The sequence below is a fragment of the Homo sapiens genome, chromosome 12 (assembly GCF_000001405.40).
Source record: "Homo sapiens chromosome 12, GRCh38.p14 Primary Assembly".
In the NCBI taxonomy this organism is placed as follows: domain Eukaryota; kingdom Metazoa; phylum Chordata; class Mammalia; order Primates; family Hominidae; genus Homo; species Homo sapiens.
Window position 1 is genome coordinate 83,210,635 of NC_000012.12, and position 12,371 is coordinate 83,223,005.

The 12,371-nt window shown below is 35.6% G+C and overlaps 1 annotated feature.

The window, feature by feature from the left end:
- Window positions 222–856: an enhancer, noted in NCBI's record as "OCT4-NANOG hESC enhancer chr12:83604635-83605269 (GRCh37/hg19 assembly coordinates)". NCBI's record gives its function as "activates a minimal SCP1, AML or CMV promoter by ChIP-STARR-seq in primed H9 embryonic stem cells {active_cell/tissue: H9 hESC(primed)}" and the evidence as "EXISTENCE:reporter gene assay evidence [ECO:0000049][PMID:30033119]".

Genomic DNA, 12,371 nt, shown 5'->3' on the forward strand with positions numbered 1-12,371 from the left:
TAACTAGCTTGTATGACTTTGAGTAGTTATGTTAGATTTCTGTACATCAATTAATTTATTTTTAAATTGGAAGCGAAGTCAGGGTAGGTTATTATTTTAATTTTCTTACAAGCTCTTAGATGTAATCATTCTAATCTAACTTAAATTTGTGTTTGCATCTATATACACATGGTGCTTAAATTTATATCATATGACACATATAATTATACATACACAAATATACATATAATTATGTATCATATAGATGTGTATATACAGACACATAGGTGATTTTGAAGTAAGTAATTTGTATTATTAAAATACATTTAACAAGCGTATTTTTTCCAAATCAGATAACTACTTTTCAGAGGATATTGGAGAGGAATACTAAAAATATCCAGCCTGTGCAGGCTTCAGGGTCAGAACATTCTGGGGATTAGAGATGGTAGGAATCTAAGATAACAAAGGAGGTAGCTGCTTTGTTGATCTAGTTAAGTTAATTCTTCTACAACAAATGTTTTCCCCAAGGTAGGAAACAATTAGTTCTAACCATTTGCTTAAGCACCAGAGGGACTCAACAAAAGGATTAGCTAGAAAGTTTCAAAGGAAGATCAAGTGACTTGAATTTATTTACAGAATAAAAGCCGAGTTTAAACTGGGCTATTCCCATAAAGTCTTACTTTCTGAATGAAAGTGTGACATAGCTCAGGCTTTTGTGCCTTCTTCCTATCTGAAAGTTTTACAAGTCCCATATTGAGGCAGAGGCAAAATATCTAGCTAGAAATTTGGGTCCTCTCTGTGAAACTTCTAATGGAGTAAAAGGAAAGTAGAATTAATACCTAAAGAATGAAAATATTCCCAAACTAAATTTATTTCCTCTGACAACTAGTCAAAAGTGTCCTGGAAATCAAGATGTCCCCAGTCAGATATTTATTACTGAGATAGCGGTTTCATGGTTAGAAATGGAGAAAATAAGCAATTGAGGAAACAAGAAAGAATATAAATAGCAGAAGGAAAAAGATGATGAGAAAGCAGAGATGCTGGTAGTTTTTACTGAGGGAGTAAATTGTATCTTATACAAAGATTTAGGGAATAGTAGATAGAGTATTGTAGAAAATTTTAAATAGAGAATGTAATAAGGATAGTCTCCCCAATTTCCCCTCCCCTGCTTCTGTAGGATTGAACAGGTCCCTTCATGTTTCTATTATACTGTATTTATTTCTATATGCTGTGCATATCTCACATATGCCACATGACACATTGTATTTGCTTACCGGTAAGTTTCCTCCAGCAAGATATGAACCCCTTGAGAGAGGATCATGTTTATTTTACTGGCACCTAGCCTGGGTCTTGGACCATTGCATTCAGCCAAAATTATCAACTGATTTAATGAAAATTTATACCCCACAATCTTTAAATTTTAGGATATACAATATTCATAGTGACTGTGAGTTGATTTTGCCATCTACTCAAAAGGGCACTTTTATGTTGATTCTGCAACTATCAAAATTGCAGGCCCTTTAAATTTCATCCTCTTTGGAGGCTGAAGTAGCCACTCAACTCTACTAAAAGGTAGCAGAAGCTTATAATAGTCTAGAGAATAGAATGACCAAAAAATATATGTTTCAAGGCTTTACAAAATTATGTTACACAAAAGTAGAGAGACTTAGCAAAGTCTCAGCAGGAGTGGTGTGAGGATTGGTTTTGAAGAGAAACGTATAACACACAGATTGTACCTTGGAAATAGTGTAATGCCCTTCAACATGTTTCAGTGTTAAAAGTGGGTCACCAACTGTCCTTACGATTCCCACTGCTTTTTACTTGCCTTATGCATCAAGGCAAATGGAGATCGAAGGGAACTTCATACATAGTTAGAGAAGGATTGTTGTTGACCTGGGTCATAGTGGTTCTTACAGATCAAAAATAGTAAATCCACACCACAGGAAGATGGAGGAGAGCTAATCAAAAGAAAGGCAAAAGGCATTCCACTTGAAAACTATAGTGGAAAAAAGAGAAATGTACAAGAGCAGAATAGTTAGGTCAAGAAAATGATTTTCTCATTTGGAACTGAGAAAATGCTTTCAAGTCTGAAAGTCCCATAAAGAGATCTGTACATTCATCAAACAGCAGGGAGATGAATAACCAATTAAAATCAAAACTAAAATGATAGGCTGCAAGCTAGTATGGGAAACTATGATGAAGTTTTAATTAGAAAAGAAGACAAACTCACTTGGAAATTTTTTTTGTTTTAGTTTTTTCAGAAAACAAGATTATGTATCCTTTATATGAGATTAAACATTCTTTTGTGATAAATAAGACCTCTATCAGTGGTTATTAGCTTTATCAGCAGTAATTATTGCTTTAATTCATCTATTCCTTCATTAACCTTATCTTTAAAAAAAAGCCAGCTCAATTACATTTATTATAAACGAACAATTTCTTATTAAGTAGCATAGACAATTGCCAACCAGGGCTTCTCATGAGCATGAAATAAGAGGCAACACTAAACCAATTTATTTTGAAATCAACCAAAAACAAAGATAATTTAAATTTTATTTAGCTTGTATGTTGTGATTTTAGATAAGTACACATTTTATTAAGCTTTTAAAAGTTATTGAAAATAACTCAAAATATCCATTGCTTCCTTTTTGCAGGGTTTCTCAACAGTGGCAGTATTGACATTTGTAGCCAGATAATTCCTTGTTGTGAGGGGCTGTCCTGTGCATTATAGAATGTTAAGAGGCATCCCTGGCCTCTATCCTCTAGATGCCAATAGTGCTCTCCTAGTTGTGACAATCAAAAATAACTCCAGCCATTGCCAAATGTCCCTTGGAGATCAAAACTGGCCCTAGGTGAGATTTGATACAGAGAAGTCTTAGGTCCTTATTTGATAACCACTCACCTTAAGAAATCAAGCAGCCAGAGAAATAAATAATACATAAAATCAAATAATGCTTTCAACAGGAGAATAGAGGGGATTACTAGATGGAACTATCCATTTTTCACAGGAAGCCAACACTAGATATAATGAGAATTGCAAAGCTGGGCTTTGTCTGAACAGGGCTGTGTCTGAACAGGTGTATATTCTACAGAGCATCAGGTGACATAAATTCAAGGTAAGATCACACACATAGGAAGGTGGAGAGGGATATCTTCTTGAAATCTTCCAAGCTGATCATTTAATTTGGAAAAAAAGCGCTTATAAAGAAAAAAATTAAGGGGCTATGGATTTATCAATTCAGACTGTTTCTAATTTAGTTGAAAGTGCTGCCTATCATAGTTTTGCAAAGTCTGAAGACTGATAGAGTCTACAAACTTTCCAGGCTTGTTAGGAACAGACCTTAAATTACCTGATATGCTGTTCAACTTTTTAAAAAATGCCCCCTGCAGTAATGTGTATTGGGAATTTCCTTCTGTCTCATTAATCTATCACTTTCTAAATTTGGTAGTTGAATTTAATTAAAATTGTTCCTCCCACATGGTTCCATTATCCAATATAGATATTGTTTACCAGTTTTTAAGAAGTTAGCTGCTATTGCATTGGCTAGGCAGACTTAATAGTGGTCATCAATGTCCAGTTTTATTTATTTTTGTCACTATTTTCCACAGGTTTAAATATTAAATCTTGGTCTAAGAAAAGCTAGAATTAAAACCGAATTTGAAATACTGCTCATGGTCAGTAGCATTCTATCAGTTGAAGAGCAAATCACTGAAGAGTGTGACTCACTGGCTTTGAACATGGAACAGCACATCTATCACTAATGGAAGAACTGGCTTCAGCAACACATTATCTGGGACAGAGTAACCAGAAGTGATGTCAGACTATGTGATTAAGTCATTAATTTTCAAGCTCAATTGTGGGAATCTGGGTATTATCTAAGAAAAATGAATAAAAAGCTCTAACACCATAATTTTTATAAACAAGAATGAGGAGGAAAAGAAGATGGTTAGTTTAACTCCACTAAAGTTTCCTTATATATAGCAAAAAGAGAGTGCATTCTAATGTTTCTAGCTAAATAGTTTCCTACTAATGTTGCTACTAACTCTTGTCGCTTTTGAACTAGTAATGACAACAACGGCAATAACTTCAATGACTTTATGAATATCTATTTTATGTCAGTGCTTGGCACTTAAAATCATTATTTCAAATCCTCCCAATAACCTGTAGTCATCTAATTTAGATTCCTGAAAAGAGGAAATTGAATTTTGAAGAAGGTACTTTCCTCAGGTCAAATTATATTAAGTGGTGAAACCTAGAATGAGTAGGTTTGATTACTTCCAAATCCCATGTTTATTTACATTTTTACAATATTGTACAGAACCAAGTCCCCGTGATGAAGACAAGGAAAGAGGCAAGAATGGGAAAGAAGAACCAGCCTGCACACCTGTTGTTTCATAGAGGACTTCTCATACAGAAGTTCTCTATTCTAGTCGGTATTCAGGAATCCTCTGATTCTCTAACCCTCCTAACCAGCTGAATATTTGGGTGAAGGAGTTATTTTCTTCGCTTTACTCATGTCTGCTTGCCATATGACCTCTCTTCTAAGAGTGCTGACTCTTGGCAATGAGATCTTAATGTACATTTCAAATTTGTGGTGTTTTATTTAGGTTTGAAAGACCAAATGTCTGTTGTCCATTTTTCAGTTCCTATTTTTGCTTAGAGATCAATATTACTGCACACATTAATTAGAAAGTTTGGGACTTTGAACATTATCTAGTACTAAAAATAAAATTCAGAGTTGCATTGGAAAATGACAATTATCTTCAACCTCAGTAAGCACAAATTTCTATTTTTAAACATATTCTTTACCTCACTACACCATGGGGAGGGAATTCTCATTTTTAAGAGAATGAGAATCATAAGCACCCCTTTTCTAACAAATTTGTTCCACTCTAAATCAGAAAGATCATCTAAGTGATAAATCTGACTAGTATAAGATTTTGGTGAAATTAGCCAAGAATAAAATCTGAGCTAGTTAACAGTAACCCTTTATTCCTTTTGCTTATTTGTGTATTTGTACATTATTATTCTCTGGCAATGTAGAAGTCAAAGCCAATTAATATTCATTTAAAAATATTTAAGCTTGTATTTACTTTTCATAATGCTCAATGATTTTTATTGTAATATGTATACAATTTTCCATACCTTATATATTTTTATATTTGTCTTATTTATTTTTATCCGTGATGAACACTAAAAAGCACCATGTAGGCCAGGCATGGTAGCGCTTGCCTGTAATCCCAGCTCTTAGAGAGGCCTAGGCAGGTGGATCACTTGAGCCCAGGAATTAGAAACCAGAATGGGCAACATGAAGAAACCCTATCTCTATAAAAATACAAAAAAATTAGCTGGGCGTTGTGGTACACGCCTGTAGTCTCATCTACTCAGGAGGTGAGAGGATCATTTGAGCCTAGGAGGTTAAGGCTGCAGTAAGCCAAGATCATGTCACTGTACTCCGGCCTGGGCAACAAAGTGAGGCCCTGTCTCAAAAAAAAAAAAAAAAAAAAAAAAGGTACCCTATAAAGGTGGTGAGGAATAATATGCCTGTAAATTAATTATAATTTATTTAACAATGTCTAGGAAATAGTTACAAGTTTCCCAGCTATTGCTGTGGGTTCAGTGAGCAGCAAAAGCAACTGGATTCCTGGATTCCTGGATTCCTGTACTCATTGGACATAGGCTGGGGAAGGAAGGAGCATATATGTGTGTTTTTGGGGATTTACTTTTTTTTTTCTCCTGGTCTATTTGTGTTTCTCTAATACTCTGAAACAGAAGAGGGCTGAGTCTGACTAATTTGTGCTAGTTCTGAAACTTTCTCTGAACCTCAACTTTTTCACTTTAAAAAATAGAGTGATTATAACTTCTCCCCAGAGAAGCTGTCAGATTGCATGAAATACTGTGTGTAAAGAACTCGGTATAGTGCGGGACAGAGATGCACCTAATATGAGCTTTTATTATCACCCTTGCCGTTTCAAATGTCCACTTCTCTACCATTGCATACTATACTCTGTGGAATGCTTTTCTATGAGGTTTTAGGGGCATAAATACCTATGGGTTCTAGAAGTATGAATTCTAGTACCGAGATTAAGAATTTTGGATTAGAAAACAGGGAGGCTTGGCTCAAAGGCCAGAAACAGTGAGATGAGAGCTTCATATATCTGAGGATTGAGAGTCTCCAGCACTATAAGACATTTAGGTTCACCACTTGAGGGAGGAGCAGTTTTCCATCTATGTTTTAAAGTTATTAAGCTAAAGTTAGCATTAGGTAAAAGCACAGCTAATGGAAAAAGAAGAAAAAAACCACTGGAGAAGAACAAATGGTTATGTGATTAAATATCTAGCTCTAGCTGAACCAAAAGCTTTTTATTCTCCCAAGTAGTTTTGTGAATGTTTTGGAAGACACCAGAAAACTATATATACCTGGCACATAGTTGATGCTCATTGTGTATTTCTTGAACAAATGAATGAAAAAAAATGAATGGATAATAAATTTTGCCCTGGATTATAAAATTGTAAAAAAGCCACCTAAAAATAGTAATTTACAAGGAGTAGGGAAAACAGTTTTAGACTGTATTGATATTGGTGAGGATTAGAAATGTGTGCTAATTCTGTTAGCATTGAACCTTTTGGAAGATACATGTTGGTTTTCAGAGTTGTCTATTCAAAAGTACATAGGCACAAGGGCAGTAACTTTTCTATCAGGAAAGAATTTAGCTACTTTGCTCAATAAAACATTTTTAGAAATATACTGTCCAAATACAGTACAGAAGCTCTCTGATTTATAGTGAGGTTATATCACAATAAACCCAACGTAAGTTGAAAATATCATGAAGTGAAAAGGCATTTAATACACCTAACCCTACCAAACATCATAGTCTACCTCAAATGTGTTCGGAATACTTAACATTAGCCTACAGTTGGGCAAATTCATCTAATACAAAGCCTATTTTATAATAAAGTGTTGACTATTTCATATAACTTATCAAATGCTGAAAGTGAAAAAACAGAATGGTTATATGAGTATTTACCGTTAATGTACACAGCTGAAAGCACACTGGGCCTGAAGAATGAAGCATTGAACCAAGATTAATTGCTAAATGATGGGGATGCTACAGCAACAGGGTCATCAATTTCTTTCTCTTCCAATGAGGCTTGAGACTAGCTGGAGGAAGTCACTGGGGCATCAGCATGTTTACAGTTTAGCAGGCATAGTGTTCTTCAGGAAGATATCAAGTTTTGATTGTATAGCTCGCTTCTTCTTTTCATTGCATGTGTATTTCTCTATAGGAGGAAAGAATATCCTGTATCTGCCTGTCAGCTCTTGAGAGTCTCTTGGAATTGATAACCATCTCTTCTAACGTCCATATGCCGCTACCAACAGTAGCAAACACCTACACCGGTTTCTTTGCTGTGAACTTTCTTGGTGCCTTGGATATAACTTCTTCCTCTGCCTCAACTTCTTTACTTCTTTCTTCCTCCAGTTCAATCAGTCCCTCAGCCCCAATGCCAACAAACTCATGAATATCCTCTTCATCAATGTCCAATTCTAGCTACTTCCCAAGCACTAAAATCTTGTTCCTTACCATTTCATCAACAGCAGAATCTTTGTTAAAGCCTTTGAATGTGTTCACACGTCTTCAAAATTTTCTTCCAAATGCCATTGGTGCATTGCTGTGCGACATCCTCCCTTGTTGCAACAATGTTCCAGATAGCATTTAGAATGTTAAAATCTTTCCAAAACTATCCGTGTTTGGCCAGATTTAGTCACTTCAGCAGCCTGTGCAAACATTTGGTGTAGATAGTATGCTCTGAATACAGTATTGTGATTTTGTCCATTGGTTGAATGAGTGAAGTCATGTTAGACAGCAGTTAACTTTTTGTTACATCAGGATGCATATCACCAATATGCTGTGCATTGTCTAAGATCAGAAGAATCTTGAATGGGATATTGTTTTGCCTACAGTATTCTCTTGCCTATGGAATTAAACAGTTCAAAAACCAGTCTTCAAGCAATGCTAACATCATCCAGGCTTTCTTGTTATGGTAATAATAAATAGGAAGAATATACTTACATTCTTGAATGCTCTAGGGCTCTGAGAATGGTAGATTAGTAAAGGCTTTAATTTGACCCTACAACATTTCCAACCGAAAGCATCATTGCATTGCATGGTCTTTGAATGCCTCGAATCTTGGCATTGTCTTGGGCTGTTGATGAATGTATATATGCCCTGGCATACGCTTCCAGAACAAGCTTGTTTTATTGACACCAAATATTTGTTCTGGCAAATATTTCTTATCAAGTATCCTATGCAACTCTTCCTTAAAAACTTCGGTACCTTCATTATTGGCATCTGCTTCCTCGCCACGGACCTTCACATTATGAAAATTCTGATACCTTTTACCTTGACTTGCTGTCAACATTTGCAGGTAGACATGCTCTTTTAATGTATTGAAAAGATTTATTGACTTAACCTGGATCGGCAGTAGGCTAAGTGGTATTTGCTTCTGTATCTTGTCTTCTATCCGCATGACAAGTGATTTTTCCATATCATTAACTGACCCAGGTTTTTAATGGTGGTAACAGTGCATTTAACTGATGCTGATGATTTCACTGCATCACGGATTCACTTCTTATCCTTTAAGGTGGTTGAGATTGTGGATTGTGAAAGTCCTAACTCACATGCAGTAGCCATTATTGGCTTGCCACCTTGTTGAGCAATTATTTTGAGTTCTCAAGAGTAATTGCCTTCCACTTCTCACCAGACACAGGAGACAGACTGGCCTATTTTAGACATGATGGGATGCAAAAACATAAAACACAATATCCAAACAATGCTGGAAACTCAGTATACTGTGGAATATCAGTTGTTTACCCTCATGATTGTGTGGCTGATTGGGAACTGTGGATCACTGCAACTGGCCAGAATCATGAGTATCATACTACATAACATCATCCCAGGAAAACATCAAAAATGATATTTAAAGTAAGATTTCTACTGAATGTGTATCACTTTTGCACCATTATAAAGTTGAAAAATAGTAAATTGAACCACTGTAAATTGGGGGCTGCCTGTATTCTAATCTATAATGACAATGTAGTATCTGGGTAAACTAATAGTATTTCATTTAATTATCATGCAGTCAGCCCTGTCGTTGGCAACATTAAACAGAAAAATTTTGTGTTACCTTACAAAAAGAAGCATTATGCATTGGCTTAGTAAGTTCTCCAGACATGATTAATGTATTCAAAGCTTTTTAAATGTTATTTTGAGTTGTCATTCAGTTTGTGATATAAAGGTTCTTGTTGAATTTTATTCTGGTTAAAAGCCATTTTTCTCATGAAAGATAAGTGTGAAATGGTCAATGGCTTCATGTCCCCTCATTGCATGATCTCATATTACCCTGAGGTTCAGGTAATGTTTAATTTAGTTACAAAATGATTTAGAAAATGTAAAGCATTTAAGCAAACATATTTAAAATTATAGACCTCTAAGGAACCTACAGAACACCTCATCCAAACCTGCATTTCAGAAACCAAAAAATGGAGGAATAGGAAGAAAAAGTGTTTGGTTCGAGGTAGTTTACCACTGGCAAACTTCTGTTATTTCTATTAAATTCTGATGCTTTATCTTCATGGGCTACTTCTCTTTCAGATAAATAAGATTATGTAACTTTACATGTATTCTTAACCTTGACTTAGTCATATTTGTATCTTTTCTATTTAATGTATTTATTTTTTTTTTCAGTGAATTGGCTTGTGTGTTTTTTCCATGATCTTATAACAACAAGGAATGTTTTAAGGAAGGAAACGTAAAATAGTGATAATTATTTGGAAGAAGAGCCAACACTTGATATACACCAGTTGATGGTAGTTAACCACACTGGGCTATGCTTTATGCCTCCCCCAGTAACCATTTCCTTAGAACATCCTCTGTTCTTCCCTAAAATACAGTACACTAATTCAATGATAATAAAGTATTGTTTTTGTATACATTATTAAATTTACCCTAATATTTCATTTATACAAAACTGAGGTTTTTCACTTTCCTTAGTAGCTATTGAATAGAAATACAAACTCTTTCCCTTCCATTGATATATTTAAATATAGATGTCTGTATAATCTTCTATTTTATATGCAGCCCTTCTTTATAGAAACAGTATGGTAAATTCAGGGTAGATAAAGTGTTGTATGTTTGATAACCAAAGAAGTCATGTAATGGGGAAATGGGTAATATATTAGTTGTTCTTACCTTACTCAAATAAAATTGAGCCTATATTTCTTTCTGCAATGCCTGACAATTTTCCTCACAATGTTGATAGATAGGAACTTAGTTTATTTTTGTTAGAAAAAGTTATTTCTCTAAGTAACGTGGTTTATGGGAAAATTGTGACAGAGCAATAAAAAAACTAGAGAATGTTAAAATTGCTGCTTGTCGTATACTATGACAAACAATAAAATCCTACAATAATGTTTATCTTATTCTTATCACTAAATCTAGTGAGGTCTTATTTTTGGCATTTTTTGTTTGGTTATTTAGGATTTTTTTGAAATGTATTTTTTCATTTTAAAGAAAGGTATATGTAACATAGTGCCTGCCATTTGAATACTATTGGCTTGGGCTTCCTCATCCATGAAATTAGTGAGTTGATATTTAGATATTTCTAAGGTTACTTCCAGTTCTAAAAGTCAGTTTCCATTATTTACTTCTCCCACATGATACAGTTCTTCTCTGTTGAAATGAATATATTTGTATGTGTTCATTCAAAAGTCCTATTCACATTGTAGTGATTTATTCATTCAAATTTTAGGAAGTGCATTCTGCATGCCTGACATGTTACATGTACTGTAGAACTAGTGTGAGTCAAGCATTGGTAAACTGGTTTACTGGCTAAATGCAGCCTGCTACCTATTTTTGCAAATAAAGATTTTTTTTTTTTTTTTGAGACAGAGTCTCGCTCTGTTCCCAGGCTGGAGTGCAGTGAGTGGCGTAATCTTGGCTCACTGCAACCTCCGCCTCCCACGTTCAAGCAATCTTCCTGCCTCAGCCTCTTGAATAGTTGGGACTACAGGTGCGTGTCACCATGCTCAGCTAATTTTTTGTATTTTTAGTACAGACGTGGTTTTCACCAGGTTTGCCAGGATGGTCTTGATCTCTTGACCTTGTGATCAACCTGCCTTGGCCTCCCAAAGTGCTGGGATTACAGGCGTGAGCCACCGCGCCCAGCCGCAAATAAAGATTTTTAAAACATAGCTACATCCTTTTGGTTGACTATGTCTGTGGCTGCTTTCACACCACAACACAGAGTTGACTAATTGTGAGAGAATGTATTGCCCAGAAAACCTAAAATATTTACTTTCTGGTCCTTTACAGAAAAAGCTTGCAAAACAAAAATGTATTTTATTGAGACTGTTAGAGATTTTTATTGATTGCACTATAATAAGGATTTCTGTTGTTGGTGTTCTTGGAAGTGTGTGTGTGTGTGTGTGTGTGTGTGTGTTTTGGGTCTTAAAAGTGCATCTTTGCTTTGTTCATTTTTCAATCTGTTATTCTCTCTCATACTAGCATTTCAATTGATTTTACTTTAAGTAAATAACCAGTAGCTGTTTGTATTAGTCACGGTTCTTCAGAAAAACAGAACAAATAGGTTAGAGATACATGTAAGAGAAAATTTATTATGGGAATTGGCTCACACTATTATGGTGACTGAGAGGTCCCACAATCTGCCATCTGCAGTCTAGGGAACAAGGAAAGCCAGTGGTGTAATTTAGTCTGAGCTTAAAGGCTTGAGAATCTCAGAGGCCCCACTGGTACAAACCCTGGAGTCTGAAGACACGAGAACCAGGAATTCTAGTGTCCAAGGTCAAGAGAAGATGGATGTTCCAGCTCAAGGAGAGAGAGAGAATTTGCCTTTCTTCCATCTTTTGTTCTATTCAGGCCCCCAACTGATTGGATGATCCGCACCCATAGTGGTGAGGGAGAATCTTCTTTACTCAGTGTCTATCTGAGATTCTGCAACAAAATACCATGAACTTGGTGGCATATAAACAATGGAAATCTATTTTTCATGGTTCTGGAAGCTGAAAATTCCAAGATCAAGATGCTGGCAGATTTGGTGTCCGGTGAGGGCCCACTGCTTAGTTCATAGAATGGCACCTTCTTGCTGTGTCCTCACATGTTGGAAGGGATTGAAGAAGCTCCCTTGTACCTGTATAAGGGCACTAATCTCATTATGAAGGCCTCGCTCTCATGACCTAATCACCTCCTGAAAAACCCCACTTCTTAACACAGTCACCTTGGGGGTTAGGATCTCATCACATCTTTTTTTTATTTTTTATTTTTATTTATTTTTATTTGTGGGGGTGACGAACATTCAGACTGTGGTGCTCAGT